This window comes from Homo sapiens, chromosome 2 (assembly GCF_000001405.40).
Source record: "Homo sapiens chromosome 2, GRCh38.p14 Primary Assembly".
Lineage (NCBI taxonomy): Eukaryota > Metazoa > Chordata > Mammalia > Primates > Hominidae > Homo > Homo sapiens.
The window spans coordinates 146,913,443-146,938,540 of record NC_000002.12 but is presented as its reverse complement, the minus strand read 5'-3'; the positions used below and the strand labels follow the sequence as shown (position 1 = coordinate 146,938,540).

At 35.9% G+C, this 25,098-nt stretch overlaps 1 long non-coding RNA gene across 1 annotated transcript in view; it reads left to right on the top strand.

Moving 5' to 3' along the window:
• LOC107985824 (uncharacterized) overlaps positions 1 to 23,323 on the top strand; it is a 35,677-nt gene extending 12,354 nt beyond the window's left edge. The window contains exon 3 of the long non-coding RNA XR_001739217.2: positions 23,192 to 23,323. This is a non-coding gene — a long non-coding RNA (uncharacterized LOC107985824). The remainder of the gene's footprint in view (positions 1 to 23,191) is intronic.
• Positions 23,324 to 25,098: the final 1,775 nt, after the last annotated feature.

The following is a 25,098-nucleotide window of genomic DNA, read 5'->3' as shown; positions in this document are numbered from 1 at the left end:
CACTGCACTCCAGCCTGGAGACAGAGCGAGACTCCATCTCAAAAAGAAATAAATAAAATAAAATAAATTATAGTACAACATAGACTGAACATGATGGCATGCTAAGTGACCATAAAAATGGTTTTCTTAATAATGTATCATGGCTGGGCACGGTGGCTCACACCTGTAATCCCAGCACTTTGGGAGGCTGAGGCGGGCAGATCACGAGGTTAGGAGATCGAGACCATCCTGGCTAACACGGTGAAACCCTGTCTCTACTAAAAATACAAAAAATGAGCCGTGCATGGTGGCAGGCAACTGTAGTCCCAGCTACTCAGGAGGCTGAGGCAGGAGAATGGCATGAACCGGGGAGGCGGAGGTTACAGTGAGCGGAGATTGTGCCACTGCACTCCAGCCTGGGTGACAGAGCAAGACTCCGTCTCAAAAAAGAAAAAATAAATAAATACAAATAAATAATGTATCATGAATATGCTTCTATTGAGTTCCACTGAAACTGCTTTTATTAAGATCACCAGAAAGCTTCACAGAGCAAACTGGAGGGGCCTTCCTTTGCTGCACTCATCTCACTTGACTTTTCTGTAGGAATCTTGTATCTAGCTGACCACACTGTCCCCTTTGAAACACCTTGTTGAACTTGTGACAACACACTTTCTTAGTTCTTTCTCCTCTGCGCTAAATGCTCCAGGGATCTCCATTTTTCATCCACACTTTTTACCTAAGTAACTGCATACATCTAATAATGCTACATACTAGTTATAGATCAGCGCTTCACACGTATGTATTCACAAACTTGACTTTTGCCTAATACTTCACAAATATATTCAACAACCAGTAGATAGCTCTATGTAGATATCTGAAAGAAATTTAAAACACAACTCTGCTAAACTAAAACCTTGATTTTTTTTACCTCTCCAACTCTATTGTCTCCAATTTCTAAAAGTTAGTATATTCCATTATTATTCACTAATTTTTTCAAGTAAAAAACTAAAAATTATCTTTGACTTTTTTCTTTCTATCCAATCCCTCATCACACCCATTCCATCAGCAGGCTTGCTTACCTAATACTATATAATATCACAAACAGAGAATAGACAGTCTAGCCGGGCGCGGTGGCTCACGCCTGTAATCTCAACGCTTTGGGAGGCCAAGGCGGGCGGATTGCCTGAGGTCAGGAGTTTGAGACCCACATGGCCAACATGGCGAAACCCTGTCTCTAGTAAAAATACAAAAATTAGCCTGGTGTGGTGGTGCACACCTGTAATCCCAGCTTCTCTGGAGGCTGAGGCAGGAGAATCACTTGAACCTGGGAGGTGGAGGTTGCAGTGGGACAAGGTTGTGCCACTGCACTCCAGCTTAGGCAACAGAGTGAAACTGTGTCTCAAAAAAAAAAAAAAAAGTCTGCACATCCATCCATCCATCCATCCATCCATCCATCCATCCATCCATCCATCCATTCAGCCAGCCAGCCAGCATGTGTTTTCAGGACCTTGATAAAATCTACACTATCTCTATTCTCTTTTCTAGTCCTTCTTAACTGATTCTTTTAAATGCAATAAAATTAAAAATGCCAAGAGACAAATATCAGTAGGTTTTTTTTTTTTTTTTACCATCATCTTATTCTCTTCACACTGCACTAATGAATGTATTTGTATCTTGCTTATAATACAGTGGTTTTCGGTTCTTTGCTAGTGAGTTGTCTTTTCCCAAAATATTCCAGTATTCTGAATTTTTCAAGATAAAATGTGAAAAATAAAGCCATCTAATTCTTATTGAAGACACCTTGGTTGGGGGAGACATTTTCCTTTCATTTTCTAATAGATGCATTTAGAAAATAAGCATATTTTTTAGATACAGGTGTTTTCATAAGAATTTTGTGAACTAATTACATCCTGGTCCTCTCTCTCTTTCTCTCTCTCTCTCTCTCTCTCTCTCTCTCTATATATATATATATATATATATATATATATATATATATGGTTGTTGGGGGACACTTTAGACATAAAGGGTGATAAATGGAGAGCACTATGGCTTACGTCCCCACTTTTCTCAAAGGTCTGTATTTAATACCCTAAAAAAGAGGAAGAACAATTCGAAGCCAACTGGGCTTATTGGATCAAGGGTACTCTGAGTCTAGAGGGACATATGGAACTCTTTTGGGGCCACAAAACAATGTCCTGGCAGAGATGAGCCATTGACAATTTTCTTTACCTCAGATCAGTGGGCACTTCTGATAAACTGAAGGCTCAAGAAAGCCACTAGTGGAAGATTTCAGTGACTGGCAGAGTGACAGAGTATGCTATAGCAAAAGAAAGCAGAATGGAAGAATACAAACAAACTTGGCTTAAATGCATGTGAAACAATCCTAGAAATCACTGAAGAAAATTTGAAGACTAGATCTTTTGCATGGAGAAGACAAGTGTCATCAAAATTCAAATATTGACCATATAACTACAATTGTGCCTGAATGGTTTTTGCATGGAAAACCGTGGGTAACCATCATTTTAGATATTTCTGCATTTTCCAAGTTTTTTATAGATTTTATGATTAGATTTAAGATTTTTGATTGTGTTTTCTGTGAAATCATCTGGTCTTGGTTACAATCCCAATTCCATTTTGGGCGATTTATTTAACATCTTTATTCTTCCTTTAAACATCACCCAAACTGGGACAACAGTGAAGTGTAAAAGAATTAAGTACCTATAAAGCACTTAGGACAGTGTCTGACATCTAGTTAGTGCTACATAGATAATTACCATTATTATATTAATACTTATTCCAGCTCATAATCTTTACATTGAAAAACAAGCAATGAAACACCGAGGAGAGACTATGGGTCAAATATTTTCTAACAAATCTTTGTAAATGACTTTTTTTTTCAATTTATAGGTGGCATTCTTTGTTTCCCTAAGACAATTATATTTCAACTACAAATAATAGCAATTCCTCCTTTTATTTCTTCTTCAGTCATCAGAAGTCCTAGAAAAATGTAATCATGTTAATGGTAGATGTACTTAACTTTAATGAAATGCTTTTCATGTTTGTTCATTAGGTATAAAATTTGCTTTTGACTTCATGTATGTCTTTTATCATTTCAATGATGTATATTTTTATCTATTTACTTAATTTTTTATGAAACAGTTTTCTAGACCCAGGGCATTAGGCAATGCAGAGCAGTGACTCTGAAAAAAAATGAGTTGAAACCCATAATTGTCCCAGCTTACTTCTTTGAAAGAGTCTCTAAGCAGTGGTGGTGTGAGGAGGAACCTAAGAGGAGCTTATCAAACTCCTGGAGTTGAGGAATTGCACAGTGAAGTATTTCAAAAGAGAGATATGCTCAGATAAAGAACCCAGTGATCTGTAGAATGTCCCTCTTGATTATTCAGCAGAATACATTTTAATGCACTGATGTGAAAAAATTCCCCAAGGTCAGGAAAAGAACCACCAAAAAGAATTAGAGGTAACAATGGCCAGTGCTTACAGAGGCCAAGAAGGGTCTTGTTACTCACAGGCTGGTCTGGAAAACCTTACAACTAATAGGCATTGGTGAGAGTATATAGTAAACAAGTCTTGCTTCACTCGTGGAAATAATTAGCCCCAGGATGAACCCCTCCCTGGTCTTGCCTATCAAATCTTATAAAGTAAGATCCAAAAGAATCAAAATGATTTTAAGTAACCTAAATATGTCTCAGAACAAAGTTCAAGGATATTTTTAGGAATACAAAATGCCCAGTACCCAATAAGATGTGTACCAGGAACACAAAGCTACAGAAATATAAGACCCCCTAATAAGGAGAATAAAAACATCCAAATGAATCCAGAAATGATGCAGATATTACAATAGCCAGACAAAGACACTAAACATTTGTTTTAATTGTACTCCATATGTTAAAAATGTTAGTTAGAAATATAGAATGCATGAAAAAAGATTTAAATCACACATATAGAAATGAAAAAATACCATGTGTGAGATGAAAAATACACTGGATGGGATTAAAACAGATGATTAGACATTGTGGAAGAAAAGATGAGAGGACTTGAAGTCATAGCAATAGAAACTATCCTCAAATGAACACATAGACAAAAGAGTACAACAGCAAATACATGAGGGAGCATCGGTGAACTGTAGACAATGCCAGTGGACTAATATACATGTAATCAGACTATGAAGGAGGCAGAAAAAATATCTGAACATGTAATGGCTGTTTTAAAATCTAGTTTGATGAAAACTATAAATCTACACATCCTAGAAGCTCAATAACTTCAAAGGCAAGGGGTACTTAAATTAAGCTTTTGTAATATTTAATATTAATACATATGGTTTTTAATTGTTGAATTATAGTCTGATTTTTCACCACTTCTGCCAGTCATATATTTCACATTTTTTCACGTGCACTAAGTCTAATTCAAATGGATACCTTTTGTAGTCTCATTATTTTTTAAAATATGTAATTGACAAATAAATATTGAATATATTCAAAGTATACAGTGTAATAATATATGTATACATTGTGTAATATTTACCAAAATCAGATTAACGCACCCATTACCACCCATGCTGTACATTAGATACAAAGAACTTGTTAATCTTATGACTGAAAACAGCGTACCTTTTGACCAACAACTCCCCATTCTCCTACCCACCAGCCCCTGCCAACCACCATTTTCTCTGCTTCTATGAGTTTGACCTTTTTAGATTCCACATATAAGTGAGATCATAACGTATCTGTCTTTCTGTGTCTGGTTTATTACACTCAGCCTAAGATCCTCCAGGATCATCCATGCTGTCACAAAAGTCAGGATTTCCCAATTTTTTTAAGCTGATAATATTTCATTGTATATATGTACAGCATTTTTAAATTCATTCTTCTGTTGTTAGATACTTAGGTTGTTTCCATAGCTCGGCTTTTGTGAATAATGCTTCAGTGAACATGGGGGTGCAGATATCTTTTTGGAGATATTGATTTAATATCCTTTGGATATATACCTAGAGGTAAGATTACTGGATTTTATGGGAGGCTCTATTTTTAATTGCGGGAGGAACTTTCCTACTGTTTTTCATAATAACTGTACCAATTTACATTCCTACCAACAATGTACAAGGGTTTCCTTTTCTCCACACTCTTGCCAACACTTGTTATCTCTTGTTTATTTCGTACTAGCTATCTTAACAGGTATGAAGTGATATTTCATTGTGATTTTGATTTGCTTTTCTTTGATGACTAGTGATGTTGAGAATCTTTTCATTTGCCTCTTGGCCATTTACATGTATCCTTTGGAAAAAATGTCTATTCAGGTCCTTTGCTCATTTTAAAATCAGGTTTTTGTTTTTATTTTTGCTATTGACTTACATTAGTTTCTTATATATTGTAGATGTTAACCCCTTATCAAATATATGGTTTGCAAATATTTCCTCCCATTCCATGTGTTGCCTTTTCATTTTGTTGATTGTTCCTTTGCTAGGAAGAAGCTTTTTAGTTTGATGTAGTCTTACTTATTTTTTTCTTTAGTCACCTGTTCTTTTGGTGTTATATCAAAAAATAATTGCTAAGGCCAGTGTCTAAAAGCTTCTTCCCTATGTTTTCTTCTGGAAGTTTTATGATTTCAGAATTTACATGTAAATTTTTAATTCATTTTGAGTTAATTTTTGTGTGTGGTGTAAGACAAGGGTCCAATATTATACTTTGGTGTGTAGATATTCAGTTTTTCTAACACCATTGTGTATTCTTGGTATCCTTATCAAAGATTAGATGGTTGTATTATTTCTGGTCTCTCTAATTTGTTCCTTTGATCTATGTGAGTGTTTCTATGTCATTACATACTGCTTTGATTACTACAGTTTTGTAATATAGTTTGAAATTAAGAGTGTGCTGCCTCTAGCTTTGTTCTTCTTTCTCAAAGTTGCTTTTATTGTTTCATGTTTATAAACATAACGGATGACTCATAAGTATGTCCTCATGAAGACTACACACTTAGCCCGTTGGTTACTGGATAACGGAAAGTCATGCAGATATATATATATATATATATATATATATATATATATATATATATTCCTCCTTACGCCTCTTACTAGCTAGAAAATATAAATTTAGCCTAACCATATAAAAGTTAAAAAGTAAAAGTTAAAAAGTAAAGTTAAAAAGTAAAAAGTTAAAAAGTAAATAGAAAGTTAAAAGTTAAAAAGTAAGTAGAAAGTTAAAAAGTTAAAAGTAAAAAGTTAAAAAGTAAAAAGTAAAAGTTAAAAAGCTAAAAGTTAAAAAGTAGCTTAGCATCTTCTATATAATAGGATGTAAATAAAAGTTGAATTTAAAAAATCCACCTAATAACAAATACTATTTTAAATTATAAAAAGTAGAACCTCTACCTTTTTCAGTATGGTAATCTCCACTGCCATCAGCTTATTGTGAACAGGTACTTTGTAATGAACACATCAAAAAGATTGATTATGGGAAGTCATGTTTAAGATTTCTGAAATTGATAAATCTGTTTTTTAAACTATTTTTTAAACTCTGGCTCTTTCACTAGAGAAACTCCAACATTGTTGCCATTGTTATTTAAACTCTGTGTCTTATTGGAAACATTATTAATTTTTAAAAACAATGTGACTGTATTTTGAATAGAATTAAAAAATCACTAAAAGTAATTGGTGACTAATTTATGGACTACTTTAAATAAAGCTTTTGTAATATTTAATATTAATATACATGGTCTTCAATTGTTGAATTATAGTTTGATTTTTCACCCCTTCTGCCAGTCGTATATTTCACATTTTATTCAAATGGATACCTTTGGTAGTTCATTATTTTTTAAAAATATTTAATAGCTTTTTGTGGTTCTTGTATATTATTATTCTTTAAAAATCAAACCAAAACTCATATCCTTATCACCCAAAAAGTATATGTGAGGGAGCTTCAAGCGAAGACTGAAACTCAAATTGGTATTTTTCTAGATTCCTGGGGGAAAACAACAACAGTATATAAAGACCTATGGTTGCTAGGTTATGCAACTTTATGATTCACTTTTCTCTTTTGACTCTCAAACTTTTATAACTATATTTATATATTCTTATTCAGGCTTTAATTCACCTGGTGAATCTTTTTTTTTATTTTTTGGGACGGGGTTTTGCTCTGTCGCCCAACCTGGGGTGCAGTGGTACTGAAACGGAAAAGTTCCCTTATCCCCCTTGCAGGGCATGTGATGTGGGTGTGGCTTGTTTCTTCAGTGCTCTGCTGCTCAAACCTCTAGGGGAAGCACACAGATAACCAGGCTGTGGAGCCCTAACCCCGTGACAGTGTCTAGGGGTGAATGTTTACAGCTCCTGAAGCCCCAGTGGGCATGTGTTACAGGGTGCTCTTTTAGTTTTGTCGTGTATAGGTGGCTTGTCTTAACCAGTTCAATTAGACCCTCCACCTTATCAAAAGGACAGAGGGCTTTCTGTATTCCAGGTTCTTGCCTTGATGTACCAGAGGAATCAAATCACATTTGGGCTTGGAGAATGAGTGCAAGGTTTCATCGAGTGGAGGTAGCTCTCAGCAGATGGGGGAAGTCAGAAGGAGATGGAGTGGGAAGGTTTCCCTCTGGAGTTGAGCCTCCCAGCAGCCTGGGCTCTCCTCCGACTGCCTCAGCCAAACTCCACATTCTTCTGCTTCTGATGGTTGGTGGCCTGCCAGTGTGCTGGTGCCTGTCGGTTAGTTCCTCTCCATGTCCAGCCACCTGAGTGTTGTGCTCCTCTCCATGTCCAGCTGCCTGTGTGTCTGCCTGCTAGGGTCTTGGGTGTTTTTATGGGCAAAGGATAGGGGCGTAGCAGGCCAGAATGGTCTTGGGAAATGCAACATTTGGATAGGAAATGCCTGTCCTCACCTAGGTCCGTGGGGGTGGAGCCCTAGCCAGGGACCACACCCTCCTCTACCCAGCATTTCCCTTCCCCAGCTCTGTATCATTTAAAGGGACCATGCTCTTCCCTTCCAAGCACTTCTCTTCTGTATCAGTACCCTCACAGATGACTGCAGCCTCGACCTCCCAGGACAAAGTGATCCTCTAACCTCAGTCTCCCAAGTACCTGGGACCATAGGCACACGCTATGATGCCTGGCTAATTAAAAAAAATAAAAATGTAGAAATGAGGTCTCCTTATGTTGCCCAGGCTGGTTTTGAACTCCTGGGTTCAAGCAATTATCCCACCTTGGCCTCCCAATGTGCTGGGATTATGGGCATGAACCACTGCACCCAGCCTACCTGGTGAATCTTGATTCTTTTTTCAAGACTCAAAATTAGCTCCTCAGTGAAGATTATCCTTTAAACTCAGAGTTAAGAGATACCTCTTGTGTATTGCACAGCACTGTGTACTCTGCAGCTTCCATTATGATTCCTATGTGTTATGCTAAACTATGATGTCTTTGAGGGAGGGTCATAGCTGGGTATCTTATACGATAATTGATACAGTCCCTAGCATAAGGGTAAATACTTTGTAAATGCTTTTTGAATAGTCATTTTTAAAGAAATTGACATGGAAAGATCTAAACATTTATTATCATGTAGTTTTAAAAGAAGCTAAATATGTTATTTTGGTTAATTCTTTACTCAATTGCTATCATTGTTTTCAATATTACAATGATGGTGCAGGAAAGCAGACAACGTGTTTCTTTCTAAAGCTGTTTTATAAATAGACTAAAAGTATTAGATATTTACTAGTACTTTTTACACTGGTTGAAATGACCCAATTTTTTTCATCTTTCCTCAAAATACATATATTTTCACTATTCAAATAATATTTGTAGATACAAATTAATTTCTATATTGTAAATAAAGTGTTTTAAATCATAGAATGCTATGCAGAGATGAGACAGTAATAGGAATACTTCAAATATAATTTTCATTCTTTACATAATTTTTAAATATGAGTTCTGCGTGGTAAATTTTATAAACATGATATCATATTTGGCTTCCATATACCAGTTTTTAAAAGGCTTGCTGCCAAAAAAAGAAAAACAACTGAATATCATTAGAAGGTTATCAGAAATAGGAAAGAGTAACAAAAAAACACGATCCTCTGAATAAAGATATACAAAGATGGAGAAGACATATATGGTCCATGATGGATTTTAATAAATTCTAGGAAAGAGGTATGAATGGTTCAGTGAGAAATTCAAAGAACTTGGAGTCAGGAAAACGTATCCTCTGGGTCTCACTTCAAACAAGCATCGAATAAGACACCAAAAACATAAAAGCACCAGGACCAAAGGAATAGTAATTTTCACATCAAGTGTTTTTTAATTAGATATTTCTTTTTCAGATTATACCATATACCCCCCCCTTTTTTTTTTTTTTGCTAAAATACAGTTACTTTGCAACAAACTTACTCTGAATGAGTTTTCAAATAGTCTTTCAAGTGTGTTAAATTATAATTACAGTTTGTATGGCCTGCCCAGTCATTCTTGCATGTAATTTGCTCATGTACTCTGGGAGTAGGAAATGATTGAGGGTATGAAATACTAACAGGCCTTATTATGAGAGGGGAGCATTTATGTTTGGATTTCTTAAAACTGCAGTGTGGAAGTCCTCTATTGTTTATTTATTCTTATGTTTAGCATTTCAATTTTGCCACTAACTTTAGGAAACTCATGTATGTGTTAGTCATCAACCAGCAAGAATAATTGTCAATTTGTAAGTCTTAATTCTATTTCTATCATAAATGATATGCTTTTGTAGCCTGAATTGTGAACTTAAACTCTAACATAGTTGCAGTGTGAAGAGCTTATTTCTGTTTTATAGTGTCATGAGGTTGTTAGGAAGATTGAGGAAGATACGGCATGTGAAAGTGCTTTGCAATTTTTAGGAAATGATCCAAATGTAAAATATTAATTTTATTTATTAGAGTACCTAGTGTGTGTTGGGCACTGATAAACCTTATAGTCAGCATGATTTAAATTGACACTAGGAATTTCCAAATGGCATTATAGGTTTTTTATTTTAACCATTCAACCCTGATTACACACTTTAGGAATGGAAAATCTGTTTTTATTCACTGATGGAAATTTATTAATTTAGTGAAGGAAAAGCAATTTAAATCCATATTTTATTATTTTCTGTTACCCAATTGAGGTATTAGTCTCTCTTTGGTCTTTAGCCACAGTGTATTTTCAATGTTATGTTTCATCTAGCTCATGTGGATTGTGGAAATAAGTAATAATAATAAAATTTTGTATTGATAAATAGATTATGAGTCATTTTACTATCAATAGTGAATGTGTATACTTTATTTTTATGGCCTGGCTCCATGTCATTACACAGAGATTCACACAAATACATTTCTCTGTTGGTAACTTTCTTTGTTACTGTCTTTTTGTTGTTGTTTGTTTGTTTGTTTTTGCTACTACCTCCCTTTGTTATCACCTTTCTTTGTTAGTCCTTCCTTTGGCAAGTTCTGGATAATTATGTGATAGTGTCAATATGCCACATGTTAGAGAGAGTTGATTGAGTACTTTCTAACCAAAAGATAGTGTACCATTCATGGTTCTACTTGCCTGGTTTCCAAAATGGATTTATTCTCTGATTCCAGTAGCCAAAACTATCTTCAACCATGTACTGCGATTTTTATATCTAAAGAAACAGCACAATAGAAAGCAGTGAGGAATTTGGTTAATCTGAGTTCTCTCTCGTGCATGTTCTATCCCTTCCTCTCTCTCTTTTCAAATGCCAGTCAGTTAGAAATTGTCTTTTCACACAACCCCAAATAGCCTCACTCCAGTGCAATATTTGCCGATAGAGGCAACTACATAGACCGAGAGGAGGGAAATTGTTTGTGTAAGTGCTTTTGTTCCCAGGAATCTCTGATATTAAAAGAGAAATTTTTTCCATGTGAATTTTTATAGACGTGAATTTGAGGGGCAGGTCCTAATTAAAGCAGGTCCTACTGGAGTTGATGGTTTTGCAACCCTGGTACTGTCCTTTTGGCTCAGACAATGCTCCCAGGACCAATGCCTGGGAGCTGAGCCCTTTCAGCTCACAGTGATGCTGACTGCTTTCAAGTCGGCCTGTGTCTCCCCCTTCTGGCTCTGGACTGGGTGGTCATTTCACAGTCTTTGCCCAGAGTCACCTTGTCAACTCTGTAAATAACTTCCTTGATTACTTACAAATCTTTAAGCCAGGATTTGTGTTCTGTCTATGTCACATAGGAACTGGGGGCAGCTGGGAAGAGCCACACTTCAGGAGCTTCCTGGTCTCATTGTGCTGTCCAGCACATAATGATGTATCTGTGCTCAGGTTGTTATAGAACAGCCCGACTTCCCAGAGGAAGAAGGGAGAACTGGATGGAGTAAGAGCCTCCACTGTCCTTGATATTAACCTTACTTATGTAACTCATCTCCTTTGCTCTAGACCAAAGCCTGAAATGGGGAATATTAACATAAGAGCACAATCCTTTTGAGCTCCTTTTCAAGCTCTTGATTTCCTTTTCTTGATTGGAGACTGTGGCTTTTTATTTTTCCCATCCTTCATTATTATGCCTTTCTTCTTCCTGACTCCATCAAAACCTTAATGACAGAAAGAAATAACTTCTATTATTTCAGGTGAACTCTATCAACTTATTTCTCCAAGCTAAATTGTTAAATTGCTGAAGGGTTGGAGAGCTTGCAGTAGGAATTTAAAAACAAAACAGAACAAAACAAAAACATGAAATGACACTCAAGACAACCAGTAGAGCTTGAAGGTATATTTATTTGGGGGTGTGGAGGGTAAACCAGCAGGGGTCTCATATTCAAAAAAGCAAAAGAGAAAATAAAAATAATCTTAAAATTAATTTTGAAGGTATTGTTTTTATCCCCTGCTGGAATGTTATATGAAAATATCATAATAGCGAAGTTTTTTATAGTGGCTGCTCATAAAAAATGCTCAGAAAGTATTTATTTTGTGAATGAATGATATGTAATACATATTAAAATGTTAACATCACTATTAATTTTTAGATTTATTACACTGTGTTAAGAGAACATGAACTGTATTATTCCTCTTTTTAAAATATTTGGATGTCTTCTTTATGCTTAAGTATAAGAAAATACTTATGATTATTCCATGATGCTAGCAAAAAGACACATTCTCTGTTAAGTCTCTCATCATTCAACCTTATTAATTATATTATTTCTTTTTTTCTTTTTTCTGTTATTTATCTCTTTCTGCCTGTTTGGGTGAAGATTGAAATATATTAGACTCCCATTATTACAGTATTTTTTCTACTGCTTTTAATTCTTCCTCTGCTTTTCTTTTTCCTTCTTTCTTCTCCTCTTTCTTTTCCTTCTTTCCCCCTTTTTTCCTTTTTATTTCCTCTATCTTCCTTGTTCTTCTCTTTGTTTTCCTTTTTATTCTATTTACCCCTTTTATCATTATTATTTTGTATGCTATCACAGTCTGTTCTGTGGTATTTGGTACATGGTATTTGATTTTGATTATAAACTTTATTAACAAAACAATCATATTTATATATTATTTGTTCTAATTGAATTGTAATTTTACAGGGTAACATTTTTTCCTTTTTATTGCATGTGCATTATATATATTATATATATATATTTGACTTCTTGAAATAATGTGAACTATTTACTTCTAGATGTATCACATGTAGATAGACTTTAGTTGCATTTTTAAAAGTCAATGTGAATCTTTGTCTTTTATTGAGGGAAATGAACGCACTTATAATTACCATCCATATCAGACACATATTTTATTTGTTTTCTTGGCTTATTCTTTCTTTTTTTAATGACAAATAAAAAACTGTATATATTTATGGTGTACATTATGTTTTCATATATGTAAACATTGTGGAATGGCTAAATCAAGCTAATCAACATATGCATTACCTCATTTATTATTGTGGTAAGAATATTTAAAATCTAATCTCTTGGCAATTTTTGATTATACAATATATTGTTATTAGCTATAGCCACTGCAATGTACAATAGATCTATTGGATGTATTTCTCTTGTATAGCTGAAATTTTGTATTCTTTGACAGACATCTCGCTAATCCCCCAATCCCCGGCCTTTATCCTCTAGTGCCCTTCATTTTCTTCTCTGTTTCTATGAATTTCACTATTTTAGATTGAATAGATGAGATTATGTGGCATTTGCCTTTCCATTTCTAGTTCATGTCGCTTAACCTAAGTTGCATTGTTTATATACCTCCTTTAGCATTTCTTATAGTACAGGACTTCTGTAATGAATTCTTTCAGGTTTTTTATATCTTAAAGTCCTTATTTCACATTAAAAAAAATTTCTGGGTATAGAATTCACCCAGACAGGTTTCAATTTTCTTTCTGTATTAAATGTGCTGCTCCAGGTCTTCTCACTCGCATTCTTTCTGATAAATAATCTGCATCACCTTTAACTTTGTTCTGCCATATAATGTGTATTTTCTTCCTCCAACTGCTTTTAAGATGTTCTTTTTATTACCATTTTAGAGCAATGTGATTATTACATACATAGGTGTGGTATTTTCATGTATCTTATCTGTGGATTTTTGAGCTTTTTGGATTTGTGGGTTTATAATTTGTATCAAATTTAGAAATATGAGGACTGTTTTTTCAAACATTTTTTTCTGTCACCTTTGTTTCTTATCTTTGTTAAAGACTTGGATTACAGATCTATGAAGCCATCTAAACTTGTCATACAGCTCACTGATGCTCTGCTAATTTTTTTAAAAATTAATTTTTCTCTGTGTTTTGGATAGTTTGTTTTTGTCTTCTTTACATTAACTAGCTTTTCCTTCTGCAATATCATAATAGTTTCATCTACTGTATTTTTGATTCTTCATACTGTATTGTAGTTTTCATCTCTAAAAGTTCCTTTTTGGCATATATATACATCTTCTAGGTCTCTACTTAACTTTTTTGAACAAATGGAATGTGGTTATAACTTTAAAAATATCCTTGTTTGCTAATTTGAACACCTGTGTCATTTCTGGTTTATTCTCGATTGATTTTTGTTTTTCATTATAAGCTGTATTTTCTTGCTTGCTTTCATGACAAAATCTTTTGTTTGGGTAGTAGACATGTGAATTTCACCTTGTTGGGTAGCTCATATTTTTGTATTCCTGTAAATGTTCTTGAGCTCTGTTCTTAAGCACAGTTAAATTACCTAAAAAGATTTTAATCTTCTTAGATCTTGCTTTTAATCTTTTTTAGGTAGGACCAGAGCAATGTTATCCTAGGGCTAATCCTCACCTCTGAGACCTTTCTAAGTATACTATCAAATATCCTGTAAATCTGAACTTTTCCTGATTGACTGGTAAGAGACTGAATTCCTGGCCAGTTACTGTTTCCTCTAATTATTTCAGGTAGTTCATCTCCAGTCTGCTTTTTTTTTTTTTTTTCACTTGTTTATGCTGATCAGTGCCCAGTTCAGTACTTGAGAGGAACACATCACAGGATCCCAGAGTAGTCTCCATGTGTGGAGTTCCCTTTTTCAGTACTTTTATCTTGTGACCTTGACCTGCTTTGGTTTCCTGGGACTCTCAGTTCTGTCTCCCCATTGTAGGGAATCTGCTGGGCTCTGCTTAGGTTCCCCCTTGTTGGGCTGTAGTCTGAGAACTTTCTTAGGACACTAAGCTGAGTGATGGTAGTACTCATCTTTCCCTGAGAGCGCCCCATCTTTCAGAGATCACTCCCCTTCATTCCTAATGTAATGGGGCTTGCAAACCATTGTGTATGTACTGTTTGGCTTTTTATTATTGTTGTAATTTCACGTGAAAATGTAAATTGGGTTCCTTTTGCTTCATCTTAGCCAGAAGCCTCCTTCATTTTTCTTATTTTTTGTTTAAATTTGGGCTTTATATTGTCTTTGCATTTTGTAAAATTAAATTTGATTGCATATAGTTCTGTTACAATTTTATGTATGCTTCTGCTTGATTTTAGTGTTTGAAATTCTATTTTAAATATTAGTTTCCCTTTTCATTTACTTAGATTTTAAAATTAATTTTATATTTCAGTTTTCCTATGTTCTGCTGTTCAGTTACTTCTTTATCAATATACTTGTATATTGGCTTCACTAGTTGCGTCATATAATCTGTACATTCTCAAAAATTTTCAAGACCACAATTCAGTTTTGAAATTAGTCTATTCAAGACTTCTAATATTTATAACACATCATTTCTGTGTGGGGGCAAATGGTGAAGTTTACTTTTTTTTTTTTGGTTTACCTCTATTTTCCAAATTTTTTTTCACTGAATTTACACTTTTATTACATAAAAGTTTATTTTGCAGGAAAAATGCTTTTCTGTTCTGTCTGGATTATTCATTTTTAAAGAAGACCTTATTGCTATGCTGCTGTATTTCTGTTTACTTCTCCTTGTCCTTGAAAGGCGAGAGATTTATTGAAGCCAAATATACCCTCCCTTCAAATGAGAGGTGTGCAATGTTCTTGGAACCTCCCACTCCCCTTCTATGGGGTATTCTAAAACAAAAATCTTCCTTTTTTATGTTAAACTGGAGGGCTTTTTGGTATAAATTTGTGTTATCATTAAAAAATCAAAAAGCCTTGGATCCACAAGAGAGGAGCAAGGTCCTGTTGGAGGAACTTTATTCCTTCATCCCACAATGTGTGTGTGGAGATACCTTTTCTCCTAGGGATCAGGTTTCTAAATCCAGTCGTCTTGCTCTCACCTCAGTTTGCTTGCATGAACAGCTCTTTTGATACTGTGGCCCAACAGCCTCAGTGCAACCTCTACCGCACCAGGGAGAAGTCCCCTGGCACTGCCATCTTTCCACTTAGTACACATATATTTTTAAATGCTTCAGTAAACATCTTTATCTTTCCCTTTGTATTGATTCCCAGGAGCATTATTACTTCCTGAGAGTGGTGGGCACATTTAACAAATATTTTCAAATTGGCCAGGTGTGGTGGCTCACGCCTGTAATCCCAGCACTTCCTGAGGCCGAGGCGGGTGTATCACCTGAGGTCAGGGTTCGAGACAGCCTGGCCAACATGGGGAAACCCTGTTTTTACTGAAATTACAAAGTTAGTCAGGCGTGGTGGCGCGCGCTTGTAATCCCAGCTACTCCGGAGGCTGAGGCGCAAGAATCTCTTAGAACCTGGGAGGCGGAGCTTGCAGTGAGCCGAGATCGCGCCACTGGACTCCAGCCTGGGTGACACAGAGCGAGACTCTGTCTCAAAAAAAAAAAAATGCCGGGCGCGGTGGCCCAAGTCTGTAATCCCAGCACTTTGGGAGGCCGAGGCGGGCGGATCACGAGGTAAGGAGATCGAGACCATCCTGGCTAACATGGCGAAACCCCGTCTCTACTAAAAATACAAAAAAATTAGCCGGGCGTGGTGATGGGTGCCTCTAGTCCCAGCTACTCGGGAGGCTGAGGCAGGAGAATGGCGTGAACCCGGGAGGCGGAGCTTGCAGTGAGCCGAGATCGCGCCACTGCCTTCCAGCCTGGGTGACAGAGCGAGACTCAGTCTCAAAAAAAAAAAAAAAAAAAAAAAAAAAGGAAAAAGAAATGTTTTCAAATTACTTGCTTTCTAGAAAAAAAAAATACTGGGCTCCTTTTGCTCTTTGCTCTTGCCATTTTAGTGTGGGGAAAAGCTATGCTATCACTATACCAGTTTCTTGGGTAAACATTTTTCTTATTACTTTAATTTGCCTTATTTTGTTTACTAGTAAGGATAAATTTTCTTCGTGTGTGTGCGTGCTTGTGCCATTTGGAGTAAATTACATATTCAGATCCTTCAGCCATTTTTCTCTAGGGTTTTTAATTATTCTGTGAAAATTTCTGTGTTGCCCCTTATACATTAAGGTTATTAACCTTTTTATATACTTTACAGACTTCTTTATTGTTTACAAGTACACTGTTTTATTTTTTCTCTCTTATTACACACACGCACACACACACACACAGACCATTATACTATAACATTTTTAATTTAATCAAATTAATAAATATTTCACTTTTTAATTTCTTCCTTTTATTGGAAAACTCTTCTTCATGGAGAAATGGGATAACTAAATATAAATAAATCCATCTTCTTGCTTCTCTTAGTTGAATATTTGTTAACTGAATGAACAGATAAGTACAGATAAAATTATAGTTTCCCTCCTCCCATCCACCCACCCTGCGTTGCTTTAACCACTTCCAAGATCTCATGTTGTTGACATTATTAATATTTTATACCTCAAGAAGCAATGCTCACTCTTTTTAACAGCCAACATTACACCATTTTGTAGATCTGTTCAACTCCATTTCTGCTATCTCTGTAGATAGAGAAGGATTAGTAAGACTGATTGACCAGGAGAAAGTGAAATGTAAGGTTACCCAAACTGAGGTAGGCAATACATTATCTCAAAACTTAGTGATGTGAACCATCCATTTATTATGCCTTTTGATTCTGTGGGTGAGGAATATTGACAGGACACAACAGGGAAGCTATGCCTTTGTTCTGCCATGTTTGGAGCCCAGCTGGACTCAAAGCCTAGGGTTATAGTTATCTGAAGGTATGCCCACACACATGGCTGGTGATTGAGGCTGATTGTCAGCTGAGTCCTAAACTGAAGATGTCAGCTGGAACACTTATCTGCTGGCTCTTCTTGTTGCCTGGGCTTCCACTTGCTATCATGGTGGGATCGAATAATAAATGTCCTGAAAGAAAACTGCATTTCTTGTCATGAGCTACCCTTGAGAGACACATATCATCATTTCTGCCATATTCTATTTGTTAAAAATTAGTCATTAAATTTGGCTCATATCCAAAGAGAGGGAACAAAGACCTATGCTTCTCAGTGGAAGAATGTCAATGTCACTGAAAATCTATTTCCAGTTTATTTTCCTGTTAAACTTTCTGTCTCACTTGCTTCTCACTTTCAGTGGCTCCTCTTTTCTTCATGCCAATGAAGATGTAAAATGTTGATCCTTTTCTTTGATTTTCCTAAAAGAAACTCCCACAAGATATTTATATATGTAGCAGATTTTCCTGGGGGTTTGGTGTCTGTGTAGAAGGGGACATGGTTGGTAGTTGTAGAGGGAATAACATGATAGCCACTATGAAGAAAATCATTAAAATTTGAATATAAACAACTCTGCTATTAAAGACCCCTTGGAATATTCCTGTCACCAAGAACGTCTGACTGATCTATATTTCTTTATTGGCATTCACCTCTATCATGTGACATGATTTTCCTCTACTCTATCACTTCTCCTCCTCTCTTTTTCTGCTTTTTTACATGCCCATTTTCTACTGGTGTCATTACTATCGATATTTAGTTATTTTATTTCATCACCAGCTTCCAGCAAGGTGAAGCGTATGTGGCACCTGAGCTCCAGGTCAATTATGGGCAATCCTACAAGGGCAGAAGCTGCATTCATTTGTAATTTTAAAAACAAATTTGCCTCACCAAAAAAGCTATCACATGAGTAAACAAATGAGTAAGCATATAATTTTTTTCAAACATGTTGATAATATTCTTTTTAGCATCAAAAATACCCTTTATTGCAAAGACACTACATTTGTGATAGTTTGAGGCTGGGTGCAGAGGCCCAGGCCTGTAATCCCAGCACTTTGGAAGGCCAAGGCGGGCGGATCACTTAAGGTCAGGAGTTTGAGACCAGCCTGGCCAACATAGCAAAACCCCATTTCTACTAAAAATACAAAAAAAAAAAAAAAAAAATTGGCTGGGCATGGTGACACGTGCCTATAGTCCCAGCTACTCAGGAGGCTGAGGCAGGAGAATCACTTGAACTCAGGAGGCGGAGGTTGCAGTGAGCAGAGACCATACCACTGCACTCCAGCATGGGTGACAGAGCAAGACTCTGTCGCAAAAAATAAAATAAAATAAAATATCTGATAGTTTGGGAGAAGAGCTTGATCTTGACTTTCTTGTTATTTTTCTCCTTTCTTCTTCTGGGTCTTGACAATTTTCCCCTAAAAATGTGTCAACCCAAGATGAGTGCTTAAGATTTGTGAAAGTTTTACATTTTCACATGAAGTGTGAATTAATTGTTTTATGTGTAAAGGGGATTCATAAGAGTTGAGATTGAATGTTTAAAACAGCTGTTCTCAAAGTGATATACTCCAAAGGAAATATTTATTTAGCATTCAGGGCACCTCAATTCATTCTAGAACAATAAGGGAAAACATGATTGAGTCCTTTCTAAATTTTCAGTGTTCTGTGACTTGAATCCAGGATAACATTTTGCATTTTTAGTCTTCATAGACATGAGAAGTTGTAATGCGCCTGAAAGGTATTGAGTTGGGAAGATTATATTTAACATAAAATATTCTACACCATCAACACACAAGAAGTTTTCTTTTAGTTGAGAAATTAGTTTTAAAAACCATCGACTTGGTAGTAAAGGCCACCTTTGTAAGAGTGGGGTATAATAAGAAAAGTCATGCCTTCAATTTCTTCTCACTGGGAAGACAGTGCTTGAATCAGTGGTGAACAATCTAAGGCAATTTCCAATGCTTATAAATGGTAAATTGTGTGGTACACATTATAAGTACTATGGGTTTTGAGAAGAGGAAGTCAATGAAAAATAATGAGTAAGGCTAAGCTTCATGGAACACATAGGAGAATCCTATAGGTAGAATTTGGATGGAATCTTTCTCACTAACTAATAATATGTCATAACGGTTTCTAGTCATTTAGGAGTAGCAGTAGATATACTGTTAAGCAAAGGAGGTGAAAACATCAGGGCTTCACTTGTGTTGGTCCTCTGAGTGCAATAATTTATACAGTATTCCAGGTGGGGAGGAGAAGCAAGGTAAGCATGACAAAAGCTTATCTATATAAGTGCTTCTGGTAGGTTACCTAAAGAGATATAAAAAGCCTCCAGTAGTTTACTATGATTTCTTTTTTCATTCAGAGTAAATATTCATTTTCATATCTATTTCTGTATCTGTTATTTTATGCTCTTTTCCTTAAAAGCATCCTCAATTTATATAACTCAGACACCATAAAACCTAGGTCCACCCCTGTTTGAAGATAATCATGGAATCTGCAAGCTAGAGGTTAATTTAGTGCAGTTCTCTTTGATCACAAAAAGGCAGCTGATTCATAGCTTGTTAGTAGCAGAACTAAGAACGAAACTGGGAAGCTCTGTCCTTTACACAGCAGGTCTAGTATAGGAATCACCTTTAATGACTCTTCATTTGGCTTCCCAAAGTTATCCAGATCTGATCTAATAAAATATGACAACGAATTATGTCACTGATGAAGTTAAATTCTTAAAATCTGCTGTATAAAATGGCTCTGGCAGCATCTACCTTTCTTCTGTAGATATTATAGTTTCTTAATTACTACACAGCTGAAATGCCTAGTGTTTAGAAATTGGAATGAGTTCATATAAGCACTTACATTATCAGGGAATATAAATAGCTCATTTATTCATGGTAGCATTACTGTGTTCCTAATATAGTTTTTATTGATGGACACTTGAACTGTATCAATCCACTTAAAATTCAGAATGGTTCTTTTGTGCATGGCTTTATGGCAAAAGCAGTATAATTTAATTTAATATAATCTTTTAAAAACAATGATGTTTGTTTCATAAATGAATATTTTATATGTTGTGTTTAATTAAAATAAAACTATGCTACTGATCTAGAAAACACAAAACAGACTTGAGTTCATATTTATGAAGTGTAGCAATATTGGCAAGGCACAACTTATCTTGTTTATGAGACATGCTTGCTATTACTTGTACAGATTGCAGTCATTTTATTGCTGAGCTTTACATGGTTTACAACCCAACAAATGCAATGAAACTATCATGAGGAAAATAAGCCTATAAAAATTTTTTTAAAAAGAAGGTGGCACTCACAGATTCAAATGCAGTTTTTGCTGAAACACTGGTAGGTTTTGAACTGTTACATCCTTTAAGGCAGTGGGTTTCTGGGTGTATCTCTAAATGAAAGGGAAAAGGCTGAGATGAGACACTAGGCTATTTTTAGTGCCTCTGCTTTGAGCATAATTCCCTGGAGACCTTCTTGCTTTTGCTTTTACTCTATTGATAGGTTCCAGAATTCCAGGTAGACATAGAAATGTTTTTGACAAAGAAACTATTTGAAAACGAGGAAATGGCTTTACATGAGAAAGGAAAGGGATGTGGATGAAAACATTTCTGTCTCCTAATTTAAAGTGAGCAAAGTACATATTGACTTGGTTTATATTTCTGTAAATTGTTGACATGGAGCAGGAGTGAGAAATTGTTGTAAGGTATCTGCAGGCTGTGGTGGTCTAGGTATAGCTCACATCCCATCTGTTATCATGTACAGACTCATTTCATGGGTTTTTGTCTCCTCTAATCCCCTTTGCCAGGGATTATGGATGCCGCCTACCTCTGGACTCAGGCCCACTGCGATTTTTCCTGTTTTTCTGGTTGCTTATTGCTCAACCAACCAATACTTAAAATGTTCTTTCTTTGTGAGATAATCACAGTAGGAAGCCAGCAATGCGGTCTCACTGCCATTAAAAGTCATGCCTCGTGAACCTGGGTGTCTACATAGCAGGACCTACCCGCTTCAACAAGCCTCGGTACCCCAGCACCCTGTTAGGTTAATGCCAGGCCAGGATGTCACGGTGCTTGACTCTGGGACTCTACCATACTGCCTTGCTACTTAAAAAACTGGCCCTTTTCTTATTACTGTTTCATTCCCATACCTGTTCTACTTCCCCAACTCATTCACTGCCTGCTAGAGGCTGGTGTCTTGCCTTGAATGGATGATTTTTTCCTGGACTGTGCTAATAACTATCACCTTCTAGACTTTAAATATCTCCTATTTCAGTGTCCCATCTATTAGATTTTTTTTGGTCCCTCCTTTCCCACTTCATCCCTGACTTCCATATAGAGTCAATGATACATTAAGCTATACTTAATTGTATAGTGTACATGCTGGAAATTGACCATTACACCACCAAGCTTTGCTCAGAGGGGTAAGCCCTATGCCTAGATTTGTTTCTCCATACCCATAACCAATAGTCAACTTCAGCCACACATCTGCAGCGTTTGTAAGTTTGAGGCCTCAGCAGTTCTCTTATTAAAATGGCCTGAATTGAAATTGATCATGACTTCACCTGATGGTTTTCTTTTCCTGTGTACACTAAAAAAAGTCCACATAGGCACTCTGCAGGCAAAATACAATTTTAGTTATTTTGTTAATGGATAATACATGTATGCAGTACAACATTCAAAATGTCCACAATAGAAATTAGTGGCTTTTATCTGTGACACCTCCCACCTCACTTCCACTCACTCAGTTTACTCACTAGATATAACCATGGCTAATAGTACTTTACCCTCCTTTCTGAGATAACATATGCATATGTAGTATATACAAACATATGTGCATATGGTGAGTGTATGTGTCTATTTATATGTGTATTATATATATAAAATTACATACACATGCACACATATTTTACTCAAATGGAAGCATACTAGTAGACTCTTCTATACTTCTCTTTTTTTAACATTACACCTTGAAAGTCATTCTATGTTATATATAAAGAGCTGTCTCATTCTTTTAATAGCTTCACAATATTCCATTGTAGGGCTGTTTTCTATTGATAGATATTTAGAATTTTTCCAGTATTTTATAATACAACCAAAGCTACAAAGAGTATTTGTCATTTTGGAATATGCTGGGATATATGTATTAATATGAAAATTATGTGAAAGTGCTGGGTTGATGGTTCTATGTACTTATAATTTTGATAGATATTGCTAATTTCCCTCAATTGAAGTTGTACCATTTTACAGCTAGAAATTCTGGAGAATGTCAGTGTATCCTAAGGAGCATGGCAGAAAACAGATGCATTAATTGGTAATATGAAGAAGACTAAGTAAAGGAATTATTTACAAAGTATGGGCAGGATACAGAAACCCCAGGGCTTTCCGTGGAATATATATTGAGATGGGGGTGAGGGGCTGAGGTTACCACTATGGGACCTGAGGGTGCAAGAGGAGGAAACACTCACTGAAGCCTGAAGGCAGAGAGGGTTGTGTTCAGAGGGCCACCTGAAAGGGGCTGTGAATTGGTGACATGGAGGCAGCCAGCCAGAAGCAAATCCTCAGAAAGGAAGCCTAGGGAGTAAATAATTTCGACCACACTCTCCTTCCTCCTTCTGATGCCTTGCTGATACCATCCATTGCCCAAACTTGACAGATGGCCAGAGATTAAACCAGACCCTTAATGTAATCCCCACAGGTCAGCCGCCTGAAGTACAGAGCAGGGTGGAGAAATGGGACTAGAAGTACAAGCAGGACATCTCCAGCTCAGTTGACCTCTTCATACCATCACTGACACACTGGTCTACACTATTATTTATACTATGTATCTGAGAGGTGAGATATTATGTATACATTTCTCTTAATATGAGTGGGCAGTGAATCTCGTGAAATAAGTAAGAGATAATTTCATATCTTTTTTCTTTTTCTGGGTAGTATCTATTTCTAACCTTCCTCTTTTACATATATATGTATTTTACTTTTTATTTTTGAAATGATTTTAAATTTCAGAAGTTACAAAACCAGTATGAAAAATAGTCAGAGTTCCTGTGTAGCTTTCATCCGTATATGCAAATTGTTAACATTTTAGCATACTCGCCTTATCATTTCCATTTTCTTTCTCTCTCTCTCTCTCTCCTTATATATGTGTAATTATATGTCAATTCATCAATCTAGTATATGTGTACATATATACAAACATACATATCACTATATGTGGTGAACCGCTTAAGAATGGTTGCAAACATGATACCTTTTAAGTGAGTATTTTCTGAAACAAGGCATTTTTTCCCACTTAGCTGTGAGTGCAAAAATCAGGAAATCAATATTGTTCCATCATTACCATCTATTAAAAATTTGTCCTGTTGTCCACATAGAGTCATTCTTGTGTTTGAATGTGGTTTCTCTTTAGTGTCCTTCAATCTAGTATAGTTCTTCAGTCTTTTCTTGTCTTTCATGATTGTATTAGTCAGGGTTCTCTAGAGAAACAGAACCAGTAGGGTACTTATAGAGGTGTTTCTCTGACATTGCAAGTTTGGTTCCAGACCACCACAATAAAGTAAATATTGCAATAAAGTGAATCACACTTTTTTTTTTCAGTGCACATAAAAGTTATATTTACACTATGCTGTGGTGTATTAAGTGTATAATAGCATTAGGTCTACAAAAACAATGTGCATACCTTGATTAAAACATGCTTTATTACTAAAAAATGTCAGCAATAATCAAGCCTTCAGTCAGTTGTAATCTTTTGCTTGTGGAGGGTCTTGCCTCAATGCTGATGACTGCTGAGTGATCAGAGTGGTTGTTGCTGAAGGTTAGACAGTTGCGGTAATTTCTTAAAATAAGACAACAATGAGTTTGTAGCACCAATTGACTCTTTCTTACATGAGAGACTTCTCTGTAGCATGTATTACTCTTTGATAGCATTTTACCCACAGTAAAACTTTCAAAATAGGAGCCAGTCCTCTCAAACCCTGCTGCTGCTTTGTCAAGTAAGTTTATGTAATATTCTAAAACCTTTGTCATTTCAACAATATTCACAGCATCTTCACCAAAAGTAGATTTCATCTCAAGAAACCATTTTGTTTGCTCATCCATAAGAAATAACTCCTCACCCATTCAAGTTTTATTATGAGATTGCAGCAATTCGGTCACATCTTTAGTCTCCACTTCTAATTCTACGTCTCTTGCACTTTCCACCACAACTGTATACTACCTCTACTGAAGTCTTGAACCCCTCAAAGTCATCCATGAGCTTTGGAAGCAACTTCTCTCAAACTCCTATTAATGTCGATATTTTGACCTCCTCCAATAAATCATGAATGTTCTTACTGGCATTTAAAATGGTGACTCATTTCCAGAAGGTTTTCAACTAACTTTGCCCAGATCCATCGGAGGAATCACTACCTGAGGCAGCTATAGCCTTATGAAATGTATTTCCTAAATAATAAGACTTGAAAGTCAAAATTACTCCTTGATCTATGGGCTGCATAATGGGTATTGTGTTAACAGGTATGAAAGCAATATTAATTTCCTTGTACATCTCCATCAGAGCTCTTGGGTGACTAGGTACATTGTCAATGAGCAGTAATCTTTAGAAAGAAA